General features: G+C 52.8%; 1 long non-coding RNA gene across 2 annotated transcripts, besides 5 other annotated features; it reads right to left on the bottom strand.

Annotated features, from left to right (window-relative positions):
* Positions 1–923: 923 nt before the first annotated feature.
* Positions 924–3,241, bottom strand: LOC101929014 (uncharacterized). Of its 2 annotated transcripts, XR_007061776.1 has the most exons (5): positions 3,119–3,241; positions 2,656–2,741; positions 2,186–2,295; positions 1,468–1,636; positions 924–1,288 (listed from the first exon to the last, which is right to left on the bottom strand). It is a non-coding gene; the product is annotated as an uncharacterized LOC101929014 (long non-coding RNA). The 2 variants fall into 2 exon arrangements; XR_007061775.1 differs by lacking the exon at positions 2,186–2,295.
* Positions 4,161–4,210: an enhancer, noted in NCBI's record as "active region_29002". NCBI's record gives its function as "activates an Ori minimal core promoter by ATAC-STARR-seq in GM12878 lymphoblastoid cells {active_cell/tissue: GM12878}" and the evidence as "EXISTENCE:reporter gene assay evidence [ECO:0000049][PMID:35858748]".
* Positions 5,251–5,560: a silencer, noted in NCBI's record as "silent region_20277". NCBI's record gives its function as "represses an Ori minimal core promoter by ATAC-STARR-seq in GM12878 lymphoblastoid cells {active_cell/tissue: GM12878}" and the evidence as "EXISTENCE:reporter gene assay evidence [ECO:0000049][PMID:35858748]".
* Positions 5,251–6,007: a biological region, named in NCBI's record as "H3K27ac-H3K4me1 hESC enhancer GRCh37_chr9:128169974-128170568".
* Positions 5,413–6,007: an enhancer, noted in NCBI's record as "H3K27ac-H3K4me1 hESC enhancer chr9:128169974-128170568 (GRCh37/hg19 assembly coordinates)". NCBI's record gives its function as "activates a minimal SCP1, AML or CMV promoter by ChIP-STARR-seq in primed H9 embryonic stem cells {active_cell/tissue: H9 hESC(primed)}" and the evidence as "EXISTENCE:reporter gene assay evidence [ECO:0000049][PMID:30033119]".
* Positions 22,949–23,688: an enhancer, noted in NCBI's record as "OCT4-NANOG hESC enhancer chr9:128152293-128153032 (GRCh37/hg19 assembly coordinates)". NCBI's record gives its function as "activates a minimal SCP1, AML or CMV promoter by ChIP-STARR-seq in naive H9 embryonic stem cells {active_cell/tissue: H9 hESC(naive)}" and the evidence as "EXISTENCE:reporter gene assay evidence [ECO:0000049][PMID:30033119]".

Raw genomic sequence — 25,835 nt, 5'->3', positions numbered from 1 at the left:
GCACTGTGCACCCATCCTCTGCAAGCCACGCCTGCATCAATCCCCACCATATACCTGCTTTTGGAGCCCTGGATCCGTGGCTTGCCCTCCTGTTCTCTTCTCGAAAAGCCACATCCTAGCTGGGCGCGGTGGCGCATGCCTTTAATCCAAGCACTTTGGGAGGCCAAGGTGGGCAGATCATGAGGTCAGGAGTTCAAGACCAGCCTGGCTAGTATGGTGAAACCCCATCTTTACTAAAAATATAAAAAATTAGCCAGGCGTGGTTGCACGTGCCTGTAGTACCAGCTACTCAGGAGGCTGAGGCAGGAGAATCACTTGAACCCAGGAGGCGGAGGTTGCAGTAAGCCGAGATTGCACCACTGCACTCCAGCCTGGACGACAGAGCGAGACTCCATCTTAAAAAAAAAAGCCACATCCTTCCCAGTTCAGGTCCAGCACACACGTGGGTGGCCCCTCATCCATTCAGCCTTGAGGTCCCAGCTCCTGGCACCCCCAGTGGAGACCAGGCCCTGCTATGTGCTTCTGTCCTTCTGGAAATCAATCGATGCGTAGTTAGCGGCCAGCCCCTGGAAGACTGAGCCCATGGAACAGGGCTTGAAATGCTTAGCCAAGGAGCTGGCAAACAGTGGGTGCTCAATAAATGATGACTGCTGAATGAAGAAAAGCACCAACCCCCAGCCTTCAGCAACCCTCACACCTCCCAATGCTCAGCACTGCAGGGTGTAGGGGCCACCCTCAAGGAGCTCAGATCCAACGGGGGTGGAGATGAAACAGGCCAGAAACAGGGGAAGGCCCAGAGCAGGCAAGGAGGGGACCCACATTCTCCTTGAACCCTTCTAATATCACTGAAGCAGGAACAGTTGACAGCAAACAGCAACAGGATCACAGACAGGACAGGAAACCAGGCACATGGTAAACAGAAGTCATCATTCTCTAGTTTTCTTTTTATTTTTTTTAAGATTATTTATTTATTTATTTATTTATTTATTTTGAGACAGAGTTTCACTCTTATCGCCCAGGCTGGAGTGCAGTGGCGTGATCTCGGCTCACTGCAACCTCTGCCTCCCAGGTTCAAGCGATTCTCCTGCCTCAGTCTCCTGAGTAGCTGGAATTACAGGCACGCGGACGCCTGGCTAACTTTTTTTCATATTTTTAGTAGAGACAGGGTTTCACCATGTTGCCCAGCCGGTCTGGAACTCCTGACCTCAGGTGATTTGCCTGCCTCGGCCTCCCAAAGTGCAGGGATTACAGGCGTGAACCACTGCGCCCAGCTCCATTCTCTCATTTTCTGATGAGGAAAGAGCACATTTTTCAACAGCCTAGACAACAAAAAGATGCACCCTTGCAAAGAACCGAGTTCGCCACGGCGCTTTCTTTCATCATCCACCTCCTCCCTGTGGGCAGAGCGCTCACCTCCCTGCCCAAGCTACTTGTTTCAAGTCAAATTTTGCCTCACTCAGGACTCACAGGTCTCCCTTTGTCTGGGATGGGATGTACAGTCTCTCTTGATTGCTGCAATTATTTGAAAACGATGTCTCGATTCCCCAGTCCCTCTCAGGGCTCTCTGTCCTCATGGCCATGTGTCCCCTGCCCCCCATCTCTCTGCTGTCTGGGGCAGAATTCCTCGGAGGGATAGCTGGAGACACAAGCAGCCCCAGTGGGTGATGACGGACACACCCCCAAAGACTCATTCCTTGTACATCACTTTTGGGGATGAATAAAGACGGCCGATTGGGGTGTGTGAGGAGGGTGTCAGTGAGCTCTTCCTGGAGAGCTGGGTTCAAGCTGAATGGGGCTTTCTTAGACAGGCATTGATGATCAACCATAAAACTGTGGCTCACACAGGTTTGGCCCTTTCAGGGTGCCAGACCCTGGGCTGAATGCTTCACATGCCCCACAACTGCCCTAGGAGTTGAGTACTCTATCACCATCCCTGTCTTGTAGATCAGGAAGCTGAGAGTGAGAGGGTGTGATTTGCCCGTGGTTTTGGAGCTCAGAGAGAGGAAAATCCTGAGCTCAGAGAGACTCAGTCCTCGCAGCAGCTCTGAGAGAGGAACTGCTCGCCCCATTTCACAGACAAGGGCACTAAGGCCAGCAGAGGGGCGGCGGCCCGTCCTGGTCACCCAGGGCACCTCCAGCACTGCCCCTCCCATGGGGAATGGCTGCCGGCGTAGGTGCCCCTCACCTTGCAGCTCTGGGGTTAGCATCCAGGGCTGGAGGGCTCGGAAGAACCCAGTTCACCCAGCACATGGGATCAGGGCACAGCAGGAGCGGGAGGTGCAGGTGCAGGCAGCCCTGAAGGTGGTTTAGGAACTCAGGACTTGGTCCAGCCTGTGACAGGGGGTCATGCTTGGGTTTCAAGCCGGGGCAGCTCATGGTCATGTTTGGATTTGGGAGCTGCCTGGCGGTCCCATGGTGAGTGGATCAGAGGGAAAGAGACCCACGGCTGAGCAGGCAGGAGGAGGCTGCAGGTGGCCAGGGGGAGAGGGAAGGGGTGAGGACAGAGGGGTGAGCAGGGATCCCACAGACGTGACCAGCAGAGTCACTGGGGGGCTCCAGCCTTGGTGATCTGGGGGCTGGCAGGGGCTCCGTGTGGGACAGCATCTCCCTTCATCAGGGTCCGGCCCTGCAGCTACTGTGCACCTCCTCTCTCACCTCTGGATCCCTCCTGTTCTTTGTCCCCTGGCTGGAGGCAGGGGGCTGTGGGGCCACCAGCGAAACTGCAGTCCCCCTCCGTTGATCTGTGTCAAGGCAAGGATGGGGATCCTGGTGCCTCCACCACGGCACTCCCTCCCTCCTGCCGGCCCTCGCTGTGCCCGCGCTCGCCCAGACCCAGGCCTTCTGGGTCAAGGAGGGGAGGCTCCCCTTCTGCGCCCACTGACCGCTGCCCCTGTCGCCCCTGCCCCTGGACCGACAGCCCCTCCTGCCCCTTCTGCCGGCCGCCATCGCGGTGACTCAGCCTCGCAGCAGCCCTGAGAGAGGAACTACTCGCCCCATTTCACAGACAAGGGCACTAAGGCCGGCAGAGGGGCGGCGGCTCGTCCCGGTCACCCAGGGCACCTCCAGCACTGCCCCTCCCATGGGGAATGGCCGCTGGCGTGGGAAGGGCGCTACATACAGTGTCAGTATTACTTCTGAGCCGCTCAGAACTTTCTCGATGGCAGGACAGAGAGAATGCAAAGCAGCTCAAGTCAAAGAGCGCTTCGGGGCTCTAAAGCCAAGGGAAGAACCGTGCGAAGATGGCTTCCAGCAGCCCTTCCAGCAGGAAAGCCTCTGATTGGCCAAGAGAGGGTCACATGTCCATCTCTGAACCAATAAGAGCATTCAGATCAGGCCTTTGATTGGCAGGCCTGGGTCCCGCCCGGTTTATAAACAACTCAGAGAGGATGAGCCACCCTCCCAGATCACACAACATGGCTGTCCCTTGCTCTGCTCGTGTGTGTGTATGTGTGTGTGTGTGGTGTGGTGCGTGTGGTGCATGTGTGTGGTGTCTGTGTGTGTGGTATGTGCGTGGTCTGTGTCTGGTGTGTGTATGGTGTATATGTCTGTGTGTGGTGTGTGTGGTGTGTGTGTATGGTGTGTGTGTGTGTGGTGTGTGTGTGTGGTGTGTGTGGTGTGTGTGTGTGGTGTGCGTATGGTGTATGTGTCTGTGGTGTGTGTGTGGTGTGTGTGTCTGGTATTTGTGTGTGGTGTGTGTGTGGTGTATGTGTGGTGCGTATGGTGTATGAGTCTGTGTGTGTGGTTGTCTGTGTGGTGTGTGTGTGTTGTGTGTGTGTGTGGTGTGTGTATCTGTGTGGTGTGTGTCTGGTGTATATGTCTGTGTGTGTGGTGTGTGTGTGTGGTGTGTGAGTGGTGTGTGTCTGTGTCGTGTGTCTGTGTGGTGTGTGTGTATGTGTGGTGTGTGTCTGTGTGGTGTGTGTGGTATGTGTGTGTCTGTGTGTGATGTTTATGTGTGTGGTGTGTGTGTGGTGTATGGTGTGTCTGTGTGTGGGTGTGTCTGTGTGAGGTGTGTGTGTGTGGCGTGTGTCTGTCTGTGTGTGTGGTGTGTGTCTGGGCCCCCAAGCTCTGGCTCCTGTAAGGCCACCTTTCCTGCCCCCTCCTCCTCTGATCACATCGTCGGGTATGAGCCACAAGTCCCACCTGCTCTGCTGGACGGGACTTCCCTGGCCGGGGTGGGGCCTCGCTCATCTCTGAACCTCCTCTCCCAACCCACCCTCCAGGGCGCCTCCCAGCCCTGGGCCTCGCTTGCTGTGTGGATTCTGGGAGCCCTTGGGCTGGGAAGGACCTATGGTCCCCACCTCCAGGCACAGGCAGCTCGCCCCCTCCAGGGGCTCCCTGGGGTGGCTGGTTTGGGGGAAGTCGATCCGACCCTCCACCCCCTAAATCGGCCCGGCCTCGAGTCAGGGACGTCCCCCAGAGGCTCCGATGCCCCTTTCCAGCTGCGCGACTTGGAGCAGGTTCCGCATCCACGATAGCGAGGGGGTCCGGGCGCGGTGGCTCACGCCTGTAATTCCAGCACTTTGGGAGGTCAAGGTGGGCGGATCATCTGAGGCCAGGAGTTTGAGACCAGCCTGGCCAACATGGTGAAACCCTGTCTCTACTAAAAATACAAAATTAGTTGGGCGTGGTGGCAGGCGCCTGTAATCCCAGCTACTCGGGAGGCTGAGGCAGGACAATCGCTTGAACCCGGGAGGCGGAGGTTGCAGTGAGCCGAAATCGTGCCACTGCACTGCAGCCTGGGCAACAGAGCGAGACTCCGTCTCAAAAAAAGAAAAAAGAAGAAAGAAAAGAAAAAGAAAAGATAGCGAGGGGATCAAAGGGCTTTCTCCGGGCGCGGCGTGGTCTCAGGAGGACGCATGGAAGACGCGCACACGCGGCTCCCCTTCCTTCCCCCGGGGAGGGTGACATTTCCCAGCCAAGGCTGCCCTCGGGAAAGCAGCCAGGGAGCCCGAAGGCTGGATGCTGAGCGGGAGGAAGGGGCGCCTGCCTGTCCCTACCCACCGTCGCTTGCGTCCCCACGGGCACAGCTCGCAGCCTGGGCCTTGCGTCCTCCCTGACCAGGGCCCGCAGAGAAGGAAGTGCGAGAACAAAGGAAGGGTCCCCTGCCGGCCGCGCCCACGGCCTCCGCGCACGCACACGGCCGACGGACACAGCCCAGAGCGCGATCCTTCCACGCCGGGGCCCCCGCCCTAGCGGCCTCCCGGACCTCGGCTCCCTCGCACGCCCGCGCGGCTGGGAAGGCCCGAGGGTACGGGGGACCCGTTTCTGGAGCCTTCGCAGCCGAGGCCCAGCGGTGGCAGCTGCGGGGATCGGGAGTAGGGGGTGGGGCAGGGGGCCCGTCCGCCCCGGGTTCGCACCCCGTCCGGTGCCCGCGCGTCGCTCTCGGTCTTGGCCCAACGGGGTGTGAACCTGGGTGCCCTAAAAACACCTGGGATCTCCGCGGACCGACGGCGGTGGGAACGGCCACGGGGGACGCTGAAGCCCCGCGGGTCCCGGCTCCGCACCACCCTCGGCCTGGGCGACGGAAACCCAACTGCAGCCTCGCGGCGCCACCTACCGACCGGATTCCGTAGCTAGATTCCCGGCCCCGGGGCGCCCCGTGAGTCCCGCGGTGTACCCGGCTCCCTCTGGCTCCCGGTTCGTCTCTTCCTCCTCCGGGGGCTCCCACCCCAAGTCTCGACGCCGCCCTGCAGCAGACAGCCCGGCCCGGCTCAGGCCTCGGACTCGGTCCTCGTGGAAGGGGAAGGGGTGTTTAAGCTGCCCGGGTCCAGGCGGTATCTCCTGAGCCCGGGGAGCTGAGGCCCCGTCCCCCGCGCCACCACAGGGAGGGACCATTTCCACGTTTACAGAGGGGGAAACTGAGGCCGAGGACCGAGCCCTGACTGTTTTTATGTGGAATTGGGGCAGCTGAACCAGGCCTGCAACCTCTTTCCGCCCCTCTCCAGATCTCTGACCCTGCTCGTCTCCCAGCACCACCCACTCATCCCGAGAGCTCTGCCCCTCTCACTCCACCCAGCCCCCAGCTCTCCTCTGAACCCCCCAGCCACATCCTGCCATCTGTCCTCAGGGACTGCACCTGCCTGTTTAACTCTGTCCTGGATTCTTTGAAAAATCACACACCAGGGAAAGAGGCCCTTGGAGACCCAGCCTCCAACCCCACCGTAAACCCCAGAAACCAAGGCCCTCACCGCCCCACTGTCCTGGCCTGAGCTCTGCGAATTAACATGGTTGTCTGTCTAGACTGGATCCTTCAGTCACCGCCCACCACTGCCTACCGGGCCCAGCGGGGACGTGGCACTTAACACTTGTGCAGATGACAACAGTGAGGGCCCTGGAGCTCATGCTCTGGGCCAGCCGTGAGAATCTCTCCTGTGACCCTCAGCAAATCAGCCCTGTGGGGTGGCAGGACAGTCCTGTGTCCTTAACAACAGGGATGCATTCTGAGAAATGCATCAGCTGCGAAGAGCATAGAGTGGATTTACGCCAGCCGAGATGGTGCGGCCCCTACACACCTGGCTCTTGCCCCTGGGCTACACTCAGGTGCCGCCTGTCTTTGGACCGAATGCTGTAGGCAACCGTGGCACAGTGGGAAGTATTTGTGTATCTACACATAGAACCGGTACAGGAGAAATACGGCGTTGTGATCTTATGGGACCACTGTCGTACATGCAGTCCCTTGATGACCGAAGCGTCCTTCTCTGGCGCATGACTGCATTATTGTTCCCATGGTTCTACAGATGAAGCTGAGGCTCTGCGAGGTCAGGCCTGTCCGAGCTCACACGAAGCAGGTGAGTGGCAGAGCTGAGATTCCAGCCCTGACTCCAGCGTAATTACTTCTCCGCTCTGCCCAGGCCTCCTAGCCCAGTCCATGGCCAGCACCTGGATCCCCGGTTGGGCCGGGCATCAGCAATGGTGACGTGACCCACCCTGACATGGGGCGTGGCTACCCACTCACACATACATCATGTGAGTCACACTCACATGGGTCACATGGTGTGAGGTTCCAGCCCACATCTGGCCCTCAGAGTTCCCAAGTGTCAGATGCCTCTAGGCTGACCCTCCCATTTTATAGACTCAGTCCGCCGAGGCACAAGGCCTTGCTCGGAGTCGCACAGAGCAGCTATGGCCTAGGCTGCTCAATACAGCAGGTAAGACGAGAGCCCGGGTCCCAGGATCTTGGACCTAGCAGAGTTTCCAGGGCTGCAACTTTCACCCTGTAGGATGAGTAACAATTCCGCTGGATTTCCCAGTCCGGGGTGAGGGAGGAAGTGGAAGAGACAGACACTGACACAGAAAATGACAAACCCAGAGATTAGAGCTGAGCTGAAAGACTTGGCTGGGCCTTGGGGAAGCCCAGAGGAGAGATTAGAGGTGGGAGTAGTCAGTCAAGCAAGGATTCTCAAGGAAGTGATATCAAGCGGGCTTTGAAGGATGAGTAGGAGTTTGCCAGCGGAAAAATGTAGGGAGGGGCGTTTCAAGGGAAAGCATGGGGCTTAGAGGGAGCTTGGCTAGTTCCACCTATAACTTACTAGTTAAGTGTGGGCTTGTATGCCAGCCAGACCTGGGTTCAAGTCCCTGCCCTGCTGTGTGACCTCCAGGAAGTGTCTTAACCTTTCTGAGCCTTCTTTTCCTCATCTGTATAATGAGGCAACAAAGCTCTCCTTGATCATGGACAATTGTGGAGTTAGCATAGAGTGGGACACACAGGAGCCCACCAGGGAAGACTAAAGACCATTGGGAGGGGGTGGGCGAAGATAGGAGTGAAGGACGAAGTGGCTGGAGAGGTCACCAGAGGTCAGTTGGGCCTCGAGCGACACTGAGTGCCAAGCTAAGGAAGCTGGCTTCATTCTGAGGACAATGGGGAGCCATGGAAGGGGCTGGAGCTAAGGAGTGACCCACCTGATTTGTGTTTTAGAAAGTGCGCACCCGGCAAGGGCGAGGGCCTCCTTCAGAAAGATGGAGTCTGGGAACTGGAGCCCTGCCTGCCCTGGCCCTGCCCTGGCCCCTTTGTCCCCAGGCCTCCTCTTGCCCTCAGCACTGTGAGGATGAGAAGCTGCCCTGCCCTGAGGCTGAGGCTGAGCCAGGGCCAGAGTGGGTGGCCTGGTTCCACTGCCCCTGGCCCAGGACACCCAGGCCCCAGCACCTGCGCCCCCAGAGAAAAACCAGGGTCTCTGCTTTCCACACAGCCACCTTTTCCTCCCCACCCCCAACACTCCGAAGCCCCCATTACAGAGAAAAGACGGGCAGCAGCACCATAATTTTTGTTTCCCTCTAAATAGGCCTGCTCCCACAAAACCAATTAAAGCACCTGCCGGGACGGGGCTCTGTCAGCAAATTATTTCCAGGCTCTGCAGCCCGAGAATAAATCTCAGAAGGATGAAGTGGACCCGATGGCAGGGGGCTGGCAATGGGGGACCAGGCAGGCAAGATCGGGGGTCACTTTGGGTCCAGGCAGCCGCAGACAGGGTCTTCACGCTGGTCCCCAGACCCTAAGCCTGGATCCCTTCTGCTCCACCAAATCGTCAGTCTCTAAGGAGTGGCACCCTGGCTGTGATGGAAATGACTTCCAGGCCATGGATGGGGGAGTGGTGGCCTGGAGAACTCCACCTCTTTGTCCGCAGCGCCACCTTCTTTGCCAACTTTGACTGCCTTCTCACCATGCGGTGGGATGCAGGTGTGCCCAGCCTCAGTGGGGGGTCTGAAGGCCCAGGTGCCTAACTCTCTGTGGGGCCCTGAGCAAGGCCTTCGCTGCTCTGAGCCTTGGCGTTCCTATCTGTAAAATGGGGGTAGATGGGCCGAGTGCAGTGACTCACACTTGTAATCCTAGGACTTTGGGATGCCAAGGCTGGTGGATCACTTGAGGCCAGGAGATCAAGGCCAGCCTGGGCCACATGGCAAAACCCCGTCTCTACTAAAAATATAAAAATTAGCCAGGCATTGGCTGGGTGTGGTGGCTCATGCCTGTAATCCCAGCACTTTGGGAGGCCAAGACTGGAGAATCACTTGAGATCAGGAGTTCGAGACCAGCCTGACCAACATGGTGAAATCTCATCTCTACTAAAAGTACAAAAATTAGCCAGGTGTGGTAGCACACACCTATAATCCCAGCTACTTGGGAGGCTGAGGCACGAGAATCACTTGAATCTGGGAGGCGGAGGTTGCAGTGAGCCGAGATTGCGCCATTACACTCCAGCCTGGGAAACAAGAGCGAGACTCCATCTCAAAAAAAAAAAAAAAATTTAGCTGGGCGTTGCGGCATGCACCTGTAAATCCCAGCTACTTGGGAGGCTGAGGCATGAGAATCGCTTGAACCCAGGAGGTGGAGGTTGCAATGAGCTGAAATCACGCCACTGCACTCCAGCCTGGGCAACAGGGTGAGATTCCGTCTCAAAAATAAATCAATAATAAAATAAAATGGTGGGGAGGAGGTGGAGCTTGGCTGGCCCTCCCAGCTCCAGCTGCCTAGGAAGTCTCATAGGGCCTCCTGGTTAGCACCAAGGCTGGACCTCGTGGGATGCCCATGAACTCTCTCCTTGGGCAAAGGGTAAGGCCAGGGGTGGGTGGCCTACCAATTCGATGCAGCCGTCACTGACCCCAGGAGCTCACAGCCTGGCGTGGGGTTTGAAGGGACTGAGGGACCCTGGGTAGGGAAGTGGGCAGTGACTCCAACATAGAGGCTAGAGGCTTCCCAGGCAGGGGTCATGGAAGCAGGACTTAGAAAGATGAGTGGGAGTTCCCCAGATTTGAGGTGTCATTTTCCCAAAGTAGAAATGATTCTGAGCCATGTGGCATCTCTGTGAGAATTATGAAAAGGCACCCTTGCTTCCACTTTACTCCCATCTTTAAGAAAATTGTTGGCCAGGCGCGGTGGCTCACGCCTGTAATCCCAGCACTTTGGGAGGCCGAGGCGGGCAGATCATGAGGTCAGGAGATCGAGACTGTCCTGGCTAACACGGTGAAACCCGTCTCTGCTAAAAATACAAAAAATTAGCCGGGTGTGTTTGCAGGCACCTGTAGTCCCAGCTACTCGGGAGGCTGAGGCAGGAGAATGGCCTGAACCTGGGAGGTGGAGCTTGCAGTGAGCCGAGATCGCGCCACTGCACTCCAGCCTGGGCCAGAGAGCAAGACTCCATCTCAAAAAAAAAAAAAAGAAAAAAAGAAAGAAAATTGTTCTAACTTTGGAAAATCTGCCATGTCTATGATCTGAACGGTGCCTCTAGGACTGTGCAGTGCACAACTTGGATAACTGTGCACTGCAGCTCTAGGGGACTCAAGCCAACAGGGGCAAGGAGCTGCTCATCCCATCAGCCTTGAAAGGGGCTGAGGCAAGATGAGAGGGCCTCCTGCTAGCAGAGGGGTGGGAGGGCGCTGCCCCCAGGGACAACATCAGATGCGTCCCATCCTCAAACACTGGAGATTCCAAACTTTCGAAGGTATCAAGAGGGCTCCTCCAGTTTGGACCACAACCCTCGAGGGGCAACTGACACTGACTCTGGGCTGGTGGCACACTTCACCCCCAGGAATCCTCACCCAACCCTGCAACAGGGTGCAGTGGAAAAAACCAAGGCAGCTAGAGATGTCACAGAGACTAGGTACCCATGTGGCACCTCTGCGAGAAAGTACCCGTGCCCTGAGTCAGCCAAGCTCAGCAAGTTCAGATCCCTGTTGGGGGACTGGGCGTGATGGCTCATCCTGTAATCCCAGCACTGTGGGAGGCTGAGGCGGACGGAACACTTGAGGTCAGGAGTTTGAGACCAGCCTGGCCAACATGGCGAAACCCCGTCTCTACTAAAAATACAAAAATTAGCTGGACGTGGTGGCAGTCACTTGTAATCCCAGCTACTGCCAGGAGGCTGAGGCACGAGAATCACTTGAACCTGGGAAGCGGAGATTGCAGTGAGCCAAGGTCACGTCACTGCACTCCAGCCTGGGTAACAGAGCATGACTTTGTCAAAAAAAAAAAAAAAAAAAATCCCTGCTTGGCCCCTCCCAGCGTTTGAGCTTTGACTTGGGGCCATCATGGTGCCCACCCCAGAGGCGCCTGGTGAGGTGCAGTCACAGCCAGTCGGCCCTCAGCACCACACCTTGCCCAAGGTGAGGGCTCAGCAGGTGTTGGTTATTGTACCAGCCCCACCCTCCCTAGACTGGCAGGCCCAGTGGCTCCTGGCTGCATCCCCAGGGCCACATGCCACCCCCACCCACCAGCACCCATCAAGGGGATCAGAAAGGACTTGGCGCACAGCTGAGCCCACGGTACGGTCACCATCCTCATCATCGCCATCCTCCCCCTGGCAACTGAGGCTCAGAGAGGATAAGCAATGTGCACAGCGTCCTCCCGCATGGGATCTGTGCCCAGCTGCCTCCAATGCCAGAATGAAGGCTCCAGCAGACTCCCCAGGTGCCCAGAAGGGGAAATCTTCTTTGGATGCACGTGGAGTGGGGGAGGGGGCAGTCAGGCCTGAGCAGAGGAGCTGAGGGGCTGGGGTACAGGAAGGTCAGCAGAAAGTCAGGAACCTCCCAATCCCCAAAACCGTTGGTGACAGCGAAGCCAGTGCTGCAAAGTGCCCGAGTCAGCAGCCCCAGTGAACACTCCGCCTGCAGGCTTATAAATCTGGATCTCCTTGGGGGCTGTGGGGCGAAGTTCCAGCCCTCAGCAATAGTGGTGGTGGCAGCTGAGGGAACGGAGCCCCCCCTCAGGCGGCGCCCAACCTGACCCCCAACCTGGGAACCCCTGGACTCTGGCCCTCCTAAGCACCTGCGGGGCCCACTGATGCTGCTAGTAATGGTAATGAAAAAATAACAAAATGATATCAATAACTGCAGGCACAAGGGCCTCCTGCCCCATTATCTGGGCCTCTGAATTAGCTGAAGGAACCCTGGCAATAACCCCTGAGACAGGCGTCATGATGATCTCACTGTCTTTTATTTTATTTTATTTATTTTATTTTATTTTATTTTATTTTATTTATTTTATTGTAGAGACGGGGATGTCTCACTATGTTGCCCAGGTTGGTCTCCAACCCCTGGCCTCTAGTGATCCTTCTGCCTCCTTCCCCCAAAATGCTGGGATTACAGGCGTGCGCCACTGAGCCCAGCCAAGGATCCCATTCTATAGATAAGAAAACTGAGGCTTGCAGGGGGGAAGCCACCTGCCCAGTGTTGCCCAGCTAACAAAGTGAGTCACTATTTGGAGCCAGATGGCTCCCAAGCCCATACTGCTAATGACTGGGTGGGAGGGGCGGTTTCCCAGGATCTCCCAGGAGCATTTTTACTTTAGTAGTTATGCATTTTATTTCATGATGTCAGAAAAAAATATAACCAGCCCTTCAAGCCCAACGTTTCATGGCTATGATAGATGAACTTTTTCTTTTCTTTTTCTTTTTGAAGAAAAAAAAAACCTCCTAAGTAAACAAGTAGAGCAGGTGAAGCTGCCCATGGGCCTTGCAGGGCCCACAGTAACTAAGTCTCATGCAGTATCCACCTCCCTCCCCGCCTCCACTTGTGCACAGGCAGCTGTGGCCCCAGAGCCAGGGAACTCTGGCAAAAGACTGTAGGCCACTCAAGTATCACTGCCCAAGGCCTGTTCTGTCCCAGGCTCCGTTGGGAGCTGGGAGACCCTGGGGAACCTCACCATCCAGATGTGACTTCTCTCATATGAAAGAGGAGAGAGAGGGGGCTCAGAGAGGGGAGGCCACATGCCCAAGGTCTCACTGCTAATAAGGAGAAGCGTGGGACTCAAAGGCCAGTCCCTGCACTGTCCCGGGCTTGGGAGAGGCTGGGCTTGCTGAGAACCCTTCCCAGGCCTTCAGTACCCACGCCCCCGAGAGCCTTCTCATCAGTCGTGCATCAGCCCAGCTCGGGAGGGCAGAAAGAGCCTAGAGGTCAGGATGTTTTGGCAAGTTTTTCAAATAATTTTTCCTTCTAACTGTAGAGGTGAGTCTAAAAAGCAGTCCAGGCAGACCCCAATGGCTCATGCCTATAATCCAACCATCTTGGGAGGCTAAGGCAAGGGGATCGCTTGAGGCCAGGAGTTTGAGCCTGAGCAACATAGCAAGACCGTCTTTACAAAAAATTTCACAAATTAGCTGGTATAGTGGCGAGTGCCTGCAATCCCAGCTACTCAGGAGGCTGAGGTGGGAGGATCATTTGAGCCCAGGAGTTCAAGGCTGCAGTGAGCTATGATCACACCACTGCACTCCAGCCTGAGCAAAAGAGCAAGATTCTGTCCCTTAAAAATAAATAAATAAATAAATAAATAAATAAATAAATAAATAAATAGCAGTATAGTGAAATATAGTGATAAGAGCTTGGATTCAGAGCTTTGGGACAGGCTGAGTGACTTCGGGGCACATTATTTCGTTTCTCTGAGCGCTGGTGTCCTCCTGTGCAAAGTGAGGATCCTAATACCGCCCTCAGAGGGGCGTTTCGAGGATGAAATGAGATAATCTATGTGTATCAGTCAGCGTCCCACCAGGAAGACAGTGTGCAAACAGGGGAAATGCGATTCAGGGCATTAACTACCCAGGAACCAGAAGAGCCGAGAAGCCAGAGAGGATGGGCAGCGACCCAGGAATTATCATAGCAGGAAGCCACTCTCCCCCTGAGCACAAGGAGACAAAAGGAAGAGATGGGGTTTGCAAGACCACCTGGAGCACGCTGGAGGCTGGGAGGACCCGCTGGAGGGGAGCCCGAGCTGCCGAGGAGACGCAGCCACTGTCCACCTGCTCATGGCGCAGCCAGAGTGGGAGAAATATCCTGGCTTACCCCGTCCTCCCACCCCGCTGAGGACCCCCAGTGTCTCCCACTGGCCTTTCTGGGAGGCCTAGGAAACTCAGTTGCTGGGCGGGCCTCGCCACACAGGGCAAAGCGGGAGAGCCGGACATGATCTGAGGGCTTTTCGCCAGGCGGGGCGCAGCACGGCATGGGGTGTGCGGCCCAGTGAGCAGTCGCTCGTGGTTCCTATTCTTTTCCTTCGCCCTATTAAAATAAGGCATGCTCACTCTATTAGTTAGGACTGTTTGGGTTGTGACAGAAACCTACTCAAGCCAGACAAAACATATCAACAGGGAACTTAAACACTACAGGGGGGTCTCCTGAAATTCCAGGGCAGGCCGTGGCCTGGAGCTAGCATCAGGAAAAGCTCGCTGGTCCCCCCAGGGGTCCCCCACTGTCTCCTGCTTCCGTGTGTGGGGGTCTCCTCCGTGTTCGCCCGCACCCAGCTTCCCAATCCTGGGACAGAGACTGCCCCAGACGGTTCCCAGATGTGCAGACTGAGTCTGGGATTTCTACCTCCCGGGGAGGGCATTCTGATTGGCCCGGCTTGGGTACCAGAGCTTGTTCTCATCCAATCAGCTGTGTTTCAGGGGGCGGAGCCACAAGGCTGCAGAAGCCCTGGGTGCCTATGCGTGGATTTGTGAGCTGGGCAGACCCTCTGTGTTAAAATGCACATGATTGTTTGAATTGTAACGAAATGTGTGATGTTTTCAGATTTGTCATTGCATATCTATTTTTCTCACGTTGTCAAGATCATGCTACATATGCAATTTTCAACCCCACTTTTATCAGTCGTTCTATCATAGTTATTTTCTTCTATCAAAACACTTTTAAGTTTCTTGCCGGGCGCGGTGGCTCACACCTGTCATCCCAGCACTTTGGGAGGCTGAGGCGAGCAGATCACTTGAGGTCAGGAGTTCGAGACCAGCCTGGCCAACATGATGAAACCCCGTCTCTACTAAAACACAAAAATTAGCTGGGCGTGGTGGGACATGCCTGTAGTCCCAGCTACTCGGGAGGCTGAGGCAGGAGAATCACCTGAACCAGGGAGGCAGAGGTTGAAGTGAGCTGAGATCATGCCACTGCACTCCAGCCTAGATGTCAGAGCAAGACTCTTGTCTCAAAAAAAAAAAATCATAAAATCATACAAAGGCTGGGTTTGAGCAAATGGACCTTTTCTCAGTTGGGAGAAAAGAGGTTTATTTAACAAGTAAAGAAGGCAAAGCAAGTTGTGGTGGCCTGTGGGGACAAATGTTTCTCTTCCTAATTTTTATTATAAAAATTTTCAAAACATAGAGAAGTTGGAAGTACAATGAACACCTGTATACATAGCCTCCACCTAGAATCAATATGATTCAGTTTGCCCACTTATTTTGTTTTACCATTTATCTCTTTCTCTTTGTCTCTGTCTCGCCATATATCTAATATATAATAATGATATTATTACAATTACATAATTATAACCAATATATTTTATATCAATATATTAATTATTATAATTATAATAATGTAATAATTATTATATAATTATTATTTATTATTATTTTTCCCTCCCTGAGCCATTTGAAAGTAAGTGGTGGATATCAGGGCCTTTCACCCCCAAACTTCCTTTCATCTCCTAAAAATAGACAGCCATCCACATATGCCATTATTATATCTAAGAAAGTTAATGATTCTGTGGTTCCATTAAACATTTCAGAGGGACTAATTCAAATTTCTGGGAGACTAATTGCCATTGATAGGCAATTTCAAGGAATAAATAATATATGTACGAGTACCCAGCATAGTACTGGCTCACAGCAGAAACCCTGTAACTGTCAGTGTCCCTGACCTCAACTCCCTTCTCCCCACCTGGTTTTGAAAAAGCCAGGTAATTTCAACCGGCTTCCTTCTAGGTGAGGCCACATGAAAGCAACATGGGCACACCACAGGTGGTCCAGATGGGGTTCCCCAATTCTCAAAGGCAGCCACACGAGCAGTCACTGAAGGCGGGAGGAAAATTACTGGAAACAAAAGGCAGAGTCACAGGGCGCTGAACTTGGCCTCGTCAGCCTCCCAGTAATGGCGCCAGGGCGGGGACCGGTGCCAGCCAGCGCTGCTCAGCCACCACATGGAAGCCAGAGCTGCGCTCCTGGCCGGGGTCCCTCCACTTACCAGGGCAAGAGTGGGTTTTTTTTTTTAATTGTTTTCAAAACAGATTTCATGCGGTCCCAAAATGAGACTGTGATTGTAAATTAAAGTGTAATTAGCCTTTACGCTTTTATATTCATTAACTCTTCTCTGTTAATGATGCTAGGCTGCAGCAGAAACCCTGCATTATGAAACCACATCCAGGAAATAAAATAGTGATTTAGATAATGGCCACAATGTATTGCTACTTACACATAATTAAACAAATGCTCCATTTAAACTTGGAAACATGACTGAATGTTGATTAACCCTCGCCCAGCAATTCTGCTCGGGACCGGGGAAGGGGCAGCGCAGACAGCTGGTCCGGAAGGAAGGGTCTGGTCCTGCCATGGCTTCCCACCCTGCTCCCCAGCCACGTCCACCAGCCACACCTGCACAGGGTGGGTGCAGGTCTTGTGCCAGGGAGCATGGCCGTGGGTGGTAGTGACCACAAGAGTGAGCCTGGGACCACTCTAAGAAACCACTGTACTACAAGAAATAAGCCAGACACAAAAGGACAAATACTGTCGTTTTGATTCCACTTACATGAGGTCCCTAGATCAGTCAAATTCATGTCAAATTCATAGAGGCAGAAAGTAGAATGGAGGCCGCCAGGGGTTGCGAGAGGAGGGTTTGGGGAGCGAGCATTTCTTGGGTGCAGAGTTTCAGCCTTTTTTTTGGTAAGAAAGTGATGGATGTGGATGTTGATGGTGTTACACAGCAATGTGAATATCCCTAAAGCCAACTAACTGCACACTTAGAATGCTGACAATGGCACATTTTATGTGTACCATAAAATTTATGACTTGGGGTTTCATGGAAATTTTTTGTATTTTTATTTTATTTATTTATGTATTTATTTTTAGAGAGTCTCCCTCTGTCACCCAAGCTGGAGTGTAGTGGTACAAACTCGGCTCACTGCAATCTCTGCCTCCCGGGTTCAAGCGATTCTCTTGCCTCAGCCTCCCAGGGTAGCTGGGATTGCGGGTGTGAGCCACCACACCCAGCTAATTTTTGTATTTTTAGCAGACACAGGGTTTTCGACATGTTGGTCAGACTGGTCTCAAACTCCTGACCTCAGGTGATCCACCTGCCTTGGCCTCCCAAAGTAGTGGGATTACAGGTGTGAGCCACTGCGCTCGGCCTTTTTTGTATTTTTAAAAATGAAAGTATATACACTACTATGTACCAACAAAAATCAAAATTAAAAGAATTGTAATGATAGGCTGGGTGCAGTGACTCATGCCGATTATCCCAGCACTTTGGGAGGCCAAGGTGGGAGGATCACTTGAGGCCAGGAGTTTGAGACCAGCCTGAGCAACATAGCAAGAACCTGTCTCTACAAAATAAAAAAATAACTGGGCATGGTGACACATGTCTGTAGTCCCAGCTACTTGGGAGGCTGAGGTGGGAGGATCACTTGAGCCTGGGAGATTGAGGCTGCAGTGAGCCATGATCATGCCACTGCACTCCAGCCTGGGAGACAGAGCAGACCCTGTATAATGTATAATGAAGAATTGTTGAAAATGTATATAATTCAGACATGTATTGAATACAAAGTAAAGTTTCTGGTTCTTGAACTCACTCCCAAAGAAGCAGTCAGTAATTATCTTTTTGTCCTTTTTCTATGTGTATCTTTTCCAAATAATGTGTGCCTTGACTGCATTCCCCCAGAAGCAGACACTGAGATAAGAACCAGAGTGTAGATGGTTGATTTGGGAGGTGATCCTAGAAAAAACGAGAAGGAGAGTGGGCAAATAAGGAAGGAGAAGCAACAAATAAAAGGTGCATGGCATTTGCCCTATGACTGAGTTTTCTATAGGAATTTTATTTAAAAATGTTTAATTTTGTTGTCCTTCTCAAAGTTGTCAGTCAAATAAATGACTGAACTGGTTTCGGCTGTTAAAAAAAAAAAAAGTGTGCATGGCACGCCTGTCGTGGTGGCTCACGCCTGTAATCCCAGCACTTTGGGAGGCCAAGGCAGGTAGATCACCTGAGGTCGGAAGTTTGAGACTAGCCTGGCCAACATGGTGAAATCCTGTCTTTACTAAAAATACAAAAAAAATAGCTGGGCGTGGTAGTGCGTGTCTGTAGTCCCAGCTACTCGGGAGTCTGAGACAGGAGAATCACTTGAACCCAGGAAGCGGAGGTTGCAGTGAGCTGAGATCGTGCCATTGCACTCCAGCCTGGATGACAGAGTGAGACTTTGTCTCAGAAAAAAAAAAAAGGTGCATAGTTGTATTGGTTATTTATTGCTGTGTAACAAATGACCCCAAAACCTAGTAGGTTAAAACAACAATAATTCTTTGTTGCTTCTCATGATTTCTATGGCTCAGGACTGCAGACAGCAAGGGTGAATTGACTCCGTGCCACAATGTCTGGGGCTCCAGCTGCAAAACTCAAAATCTAGGGACTGGCATCATCTGAAGGCTGCCACCCACACATGCTGGCCATCCATTAGGGGCCTAGGTGGGGCTGTCAGCTGAAACCCTCACAAGTGGCCTCTCCTGGTGGCATGCGCTCCTCAACATAATGGCTGGGTTCCACGGACAAGCATCGAGAGAGAGAGAGAGAACGGGGGAGAGAATGCCAGGTGGAAGCCATGTTTCCTGTTATGACCAGCCTCAGAAATTTTGCAATATCACTTTGGCCACCAGGTATGAAGGTCTGCCCAAGTTCAAGGGTAGAGAAAAGTCAGTGGCCCACTGTGACGAGAGCATACAGAGAAATACAATCTGCCAGTGTATTGGTCTGTTCTCATGCTGCTATAAAGAACTGCCCAAGACTGGGCAATTTATAAAGGAAAGAGGTTTAATTGACTTGCAGTTCCATGTTGCTGAGGAGGCCTCAGGAAACTTACAATCATGGTGGAAGGCGAAGGAGAACCAGGCCCCTTCTTCACAGGGTGTCAGGATGGAGTGAGTGAGAGCAGGGGAAATGCCAGATGCTTATAAAACCATCAGCTCTCATGAGACTCACTCACTATCACAAGAACAGCATGGGGGAAACCACCCTCGTGGTCCAGTTACCTCCATCTAGTCCCTGCCTTGACACACAGGGATTATGGGGATTAAAATTCAAGATGAGATTTGGGTGGAGAAACAGCCAGTTACCAGGTAAGTTGCCCCTGTGGACAATTGGAGCATTATCCCACTAGGGAGCTCTGCGTGACAGCATGGAACACTCATGTCGGGGTTACCACACCTGAGGGGTCAAGTAGACAGTGTTGTCTGTCTTTGAAAGCCACACTGGAGGGTGGGCCTTAAGTTTCTGGCACTTCCGGCCTACAGGACACACAGTCACAGAGCCAGCTCTGGTTGCTAGAGAAAGCCACCAGGCAAAGAGACGAAAGCTGGGACCGTGTGTCAGCACGTAAGACTGGATGGACACTGTGAGGCGCTGACAGTTTCTGTGTGGAAATCAATCACTGGCAAGAGAACGGAGCCACTGCGAATGACTTAGATTAATCCAAATGTATCACCCAGTCTTCCCTTAAGCCGGTGCTAAGTTGGGATTCTGTTGGAAAGGAAGGAGACATGATGAGTATTTCTGCTGCCACATACACATTTATCAAGCAATCACTATAGGCCAAGGACTGTGCCACATGCTCAGATGTGACGTCAGCTGGGATGGAGTTAAACACAACAGGCTTGGGAAAACCTGTGTTGAAGATGCAGATGCTTCCTCAACCTGGGTCCCTGAATTACCTCATGGAAAACCAGTACATATTTGGGTCTATTTGTTTTTGTTTTTGTTTTGAGATGGAGTCTCACTGTGCTGCCCAGGCTGGAATGCAGTGGCATGATCTCAGCTCACTGCAACCTCCACCTCCTGGGTTCAAGTGATTCTCCTGCCTCAGCCTCTTGAGTAGCTGGGATTACAGGTGCCTGCCACCACACCTGGCTAATTTTTGTATTTTTAGTGGAGATGGGGTTTCACCATGTTGGCCAGGCTAGTCTTGAACTCCTGACCTCAAGTGATGGGCCCACCTCTGCCTCCTAAAGTGCTGGGATTACAGGCGTGAGCCATCATGCCCGGCCTGGGTCTATTTCTTACCAAAGCTCACTCTACTCTAATACAAGTGCATAGTATTAGATTGACTCATCTGAAATTGCCATCTTGCCATTTTAGAAGTCAAAAGTGGTCAAATGTGAGCAATTTCAGATGATTCAACCTGAAACACACAACCCATTCTTTTACTCCAGGGTAGTATTCACCCTGTGGATGGACCATAGCTGATTTAGCCACTCCCCTTTGATGAACCTCTGTGTCGTCTCCAATTTTTGTCCTTACAAATAACATGGCAATCCACATTCTTGAATATTTATCATTATGAATTTCTGCGAGTGTGTCTGTCAGATCCCACACATGGGGATGCTGGATCGGTGCTGCATATTCAAGATTTTGGTCTGGGTGTGGTGGCTCACACCTGAAATCGCAACACTTTGGGATGCCAAGGTGAGAGGATCGCTTGAGCCCAGGAGTTTAAGACCAGCCTGGGCAACATAGGGAGACCCTGTCTCTACCAAAAAAAAAAAAAAAAGAAAAAAAATTAATTAGCCAGGCATGGTGGCACACACCTATAGTCCCAGCTATTCAGGAGGCTGAGGTGGGAGAATCACTTGAACTCAGGAAGTCAAGGCTGCAGTGAGCTGTGATCATGGCACTGCACTCCAGCCTGGGTGAGAGAGCAAGGCCCTATCTCAAAAAATAAAAATAAAAAAAGAAAAAGATTTTGATACATGCTGCTCAAATTACTCTCAAACATTTTCTTTTTATTTATTTTTTTTTTTTTGAGACAGAGTTTTGCTGTTGTTGCACAGGCTGGAGTGCAACGGCACGATCTCGGCTCACCGCAACCTCCGCCTCCTGGGTTCAAGCGATTCTCCTGCCTCAGCCTCCTGAGTAGCTGGGATTACAGGCATGTGCCACCACGCCCGGCTAATTTTGTATTTTTAGTAGAGACGGGGTTTCTCCATGTTGATCAGGCTGGTCTCGGACTCCTGACCTCAGGCGATCCACCCACCTCAGCCTCCCAAAGTGGTGGGATTACAGGCATGAGCCACTCTGCCTGCCTCTCAAATATTTTCATAATGATTATATATGCATGTGCACTGTGTGTGTGTATTTTTTTTAAAAAACAAATACTGATACAGGGCATACTATGTTCTGGGCACGGCTCTATGTTCTTTACAAATATTTATTTAACCTTCACAACAACCCTATGAGGTAGGTATTATTGTTATTATCCCCATTTTACAAATGGGGAAACTGAGGCCAAGAGAGGTTAAGTCACTTGTCCAAGATCCACCACTAGTAAGTGGTAGAGCTGGGATTTGAGCCCAGGCACCATGGCGCCAGAGTCTGCCTTCATGACCACCATATCCTACTGCTTATGAGAGTGAGGCCTGGGGCCTGGGACAGCTGCCCTCTTCCCTTTCAGGAAAAGTAAGAGTATTCGAGGGCCAGGCACGGTGACTCACGCCTGTAATCCCAGCACTTTGGGAGGCCGAGGCAAGTGAATCACCTGAGGTCAGGGGTTCGAGACCAGCCTGGCCAACATGGCGAAACCCCATCTCTACTAAGAATACAAAAATTAGCCAAGCATGGTTGTGGGCGCCTGTAATCCCAGCTACTTGGGAGGCTGAGGCAGGAGAATCACTTGAACCTGGGAGGCGGAGGTTGCGGTGAGCTGAGATTGCACCACTGCACTCCAGCCTGGGGGACAGAGTAAGACTCTCTCAAAAAAAAAAAAAAAAAAAAAGGATTCGCAGCAATGGCTGCCATTGTGAGCACAGAGCATGCCTGGGGGTGAGAGCTTCATAAAGGCAATAAGCAAAGGAATGACTCGCTGGAGGCTTCTCCCTGATTTCCTTTATTCGTACTCAGACTCCTGGCTTCCTTTGTTTATCGGGTCCTGGTATCAGATCCAGCTGAGGATGAGTTCTGGCCCTGCCACCAGTAGTCTGTGCCCTTCTCTGAGCCTTTGTTCCTTCATCTGGAAAGTGGAGATAATAACAGGGCTCACATCTAAGGTCATGAGGATGACATGTATGAGAATAAAATAAGTGGAAGCACAATTTCAGTCATTTACTCAAGAATGTCCAGAGCCCTGACTGTGTACCCTTTACTCTTCTAATCCCATTGTTGGTCATCTTGGCAACTTCCAATTGTTTGCCCTCATAAACACCACCAACCTCACCACTATATGAACATCCTTGTGCACATTTTTTTTTTTTTTTTGCATTTGCCAAATTATTTCTAGGGGTAAATTTCTAGTTGTGGAATTGCTGGGTCAAAAGGGAGGGTAATTTTTTTTTTTTTTTTTTTTTGAGATGGAGTCTTGCTCTATCACCCAGGCTGGAGGGAGGGTAATCTTTTTCTCTTTTTAGATGGAGTTTCACTTTTTTTACCAGGCTGGAATGCAATGGCATGATCTTGGCTCACTGCAACCTCCGCCTCCCAGGTTCAAGCAATTCTCCTGCGTCAGCCTCCCCAGTAGCTGGGATTACAGGCATGTCCAACCACGCCTGGCTAATTTTGTATTTTTAGTAGAGACAGGGTTTCTCCATGTTGGTCAGGCTGGTCTCGAACTCCCGACCTCAGGTGATCTACCCGCCTTGGCCTCCCAAAGTGCTGGGATTACAGGTGTGAGCCACTGCGCCCAGCCTATTTTTTTTTTTTTTTGAAACAGAGTCTCTCTGTGTCGCTGAGGCTGAAGTACAGTGGCATGATCTCAGCTCACTGTAACCTCCATCTTCCGGGTTCAAGTAATTCTCCTGTCTCAGCCTCCCTAGTAGCTGGGAATACAGGCATGTGCCACCACACCCAGCTAATTTTTGTTTGTTTGTTTGTTTGTTTGCTTAGTAGAGACTAGGTTTCATCATGTTGGCCAGGCTGGTCTTGAACTCCTGGTCTCAGGTGACTCGTCCACCTCCGCCTTCCAAAGTGCTGGGATTATAGGCATAAGCCACAGCGCCTGGCCGATTTATTATCTTTTTGAGACGGAGTCTTGCTCTGTCTTCCAGGCTGGAGTGCAATGGCTTGATCTCGGCTCACTGCAACCTCTGCCACCCGGGTTCAAGAAATTCTCCCACCTTAGCCTCCCAAGTAGCTGGGACTACAGGTGCGCGCACCCCATGCCTGACTAATTTTTGTATTTTTAGTAGAGTTGGGGTTTCACCATGTTGGCCAGGCTGGTTTTGAGCTCCTGACCTCAGGTAATCTGCCTGCCTCGGCCTCCCAAAGTGCTGGGATTACAGGCATGAGCCACCACGTCTACCCTAAGTGACATTTTAAAATAACTAAAGGAGTATAATTGGATTGTTTGTAACACAAAGGATAAATGCCTGAGGGGATGGATACCCCATTTACCCTGCTGTGATTAGTACTCATTGCATGCATCTGTTAAAATATCTCGTGTGCCCCAGAAATATTTAATATATACACCTACACTACACCCCCAAAAATTAAAAATTAAAAAATGAAAAGGAACAATTTAAAAAATAAAATAAAATGCACTGACTTGATGAAAAATAAAATACAATTTAAATATTAGCCACGCATGGTGGCATGCACCTGTAGTCCCAGCTACTTGGGTGGGAGGATTGCTTGAGCCTGGGAGGTGGAGGCTACAGTGACCTGTGATCATGCCACTGCACTCCAGCTTGAGCAACAGTAGGAGACCCCATCTAAAAAAAAAATGAAAGAAAGAAAGGCCACACGTGCAGCCTCAGGCCCGCTAGCAGGATCTAGGAAGGCAGGGCATGGAGACTTCTCTTTCCTCTCCTGCCATGGGTACAAGATGGGGACCTGCTGATGGCCACCATTCTCACTGGCCATTTCTAAACTGGGTTTGTCACACGAAAACTGTTCCCAGGCAGAGCCAAGGAAATCCCTAAATCAATAATGATCTGGGCTGGGCACGGTGGCTCACGCCTGTAATCCCAGCACTTTGGGAGGCCGAGGCAGGCTGATCACTTGAGGTCAGGAGTTCAAGACCAGCACGGCCAGCATGGCGAAACCCCCGCTCTACTAAACACACACAAAAAATTAGCTGAGCATGATGGCGCGTGCCTGTAATCCCAGCTACTCGGAAGGCTGGGGCCGGAGAATCCCTTGAACCCAGGAGGCAGAGGTTGCAGTGAGCTGAGATCGCGCCACTGCACTCCAGCCTGGGTGACAGAGCAAGACTCTGTCTCAAAAAAAAGAAAAGAGAAAAAAGGAATGATCTGGAAGGAGAGTTTGGCCCTGAGAGGCACCCCCAACCTTTCCCTTCTCAGCTCTGCGTGGCTGCACTTTCCTCTCCTCTCCAGACCCCCAGCACGCACAGTGTAAGACCCCCACCTAGAGTCCAGCCAGGCCACAGGGACCGTCCCAGGACACTGGGCCATGAGTGGCAAGTTGGGGAGCACAGGGGGGCCCTGACCAAGGCAGAGAGTCAAGAAAGGCTGCTCTGAGGAGGAGCAGGTAGGGTGGGAGGACAGAGGGGCAGCACGTGGAAGGCTAGGAGGTGAGAGAGGGGCAGTCACGTGGAGGAGGCTGGACCACCTCCCGAGGGCCACGGGGGACCATGGAGGATTTACAGGCAGGCCCTGCCGCCTGTGGAGAATGGACCAGAGGGGCTGAGCCTGGAGCAGAGTGGACTTGGGACCTAGGTTTCTGCTTATATCTCTTGGTTACACATTCTGTTCTGGTAGTAGCATGCCACTACTACTTGGCTAATTTTTGTATTTTTAGTAGACACGTGGTTTCACCATGTTGGCCAGGCTGGTCTCAAAGTCCTGACCTCAGGTGATCCACCCACCTCCGCCTCCCAAAGTGCTAGGATTACAGATGTGAGCCACTGTGCCCAGCCCCAACATCTAAATTTTGCAGGGACACATATATTGAAGCACCCTCTGTCTGGCATGCACCTGCCCCACCACAGGGGTCCACCTGTTCCAGCCTCCCCATGCCACCTGCTGCAGGAAGTCCTCCGCAAGTCACTGGCCAGTAGTGGCCTCACCTGCCCTGCGCTTCCAGCCTGGTCTCTCACTGGGTTTGTCTGAGGCCCTGAACACATTCATCCAGGCATGTCCCAGCTGTTGGGGGCTCGGCTTATCTCCACCTTCCTCCCGCGGCCCCAGCCTTTAGCCAAATGCCCTGCAGAGAATAAGTACAGGCCACAACTCTGGCAGCAGCAAACCTCCTCCCTGACTTTTCTGTGTTCGTTGCGCCCAGCCCAGGGCCTGGCACCAAGCAGGCATCATCCCGTCCTCCATTCACCCGTCCATTTGCCAAACACACATTGAGCGCTGCTCTGTTCCAAGCTTGTGCTAATGGCTGGTCACACCCATGTTGAATAGAATAGACCCACCCCAGCATCTTAGTCAGCTGGGGAGGAGGTGCTGGGAGGGGCGAAGGCCTGGGAGGATCCTGACCCAGCCTGCAGATTGGCGGGAGGGAGACGTCAATGGGGCCAAGCCAACCTGGTGAGGCTGAGAGGCGAGTTTCCCAGAAGGCCTCCCTCTGTGCTTCCTGCATAGGAGCTTTTGAAATTGGAAGGGAAGCAGTGACCTTTGCTCTCTGAAGGTCACAGGAGGCAGCCATGGTGACAGGCAGACCCAGTGGCCTGGGGGGCTCCAGCTTGTCCTCGCCGTTCTCCACCCTGCGCTTGGTCTTCCTGACTGCTGGCCTGCTGACCAGCAGTGGCCCCAGGCCCACCCCAGAGGCTCCCCAAAGAACTCACAGAGGCAGCAGCTACACAGAGGCAATAGCTCCCAGGGGACCCTCCAGGAGCGTCCCCCACATCCCTTCTGGCAGCCAGACACACCTGGCTTCTCAGATCGCTGGGAGGTGTCAGCTCTGACCCCCCGTGTCCCCTCTGGGCCTTCACCTCCAGCTCCTCCCAT

The sequence above is a fragment of the Homo sapiens genome, chromosome 9 (assembly GCF_000001405.40).
Source record: "Homo sapiens chromosome 9, GRCh38.p14 Primary Assembly".
In the NCBI taxonomy this organism is placed as follows: domain Eukaryota; kingdom Metazoa; phylum Chordata; class Mammalia; order Primates; family Hominidae; genus Homo; species Homo sapiens.
Note: the sequence above shows the minus strand (reverse complement) of the source record. Positions and strands in the feature narration are given on the sequence as shown.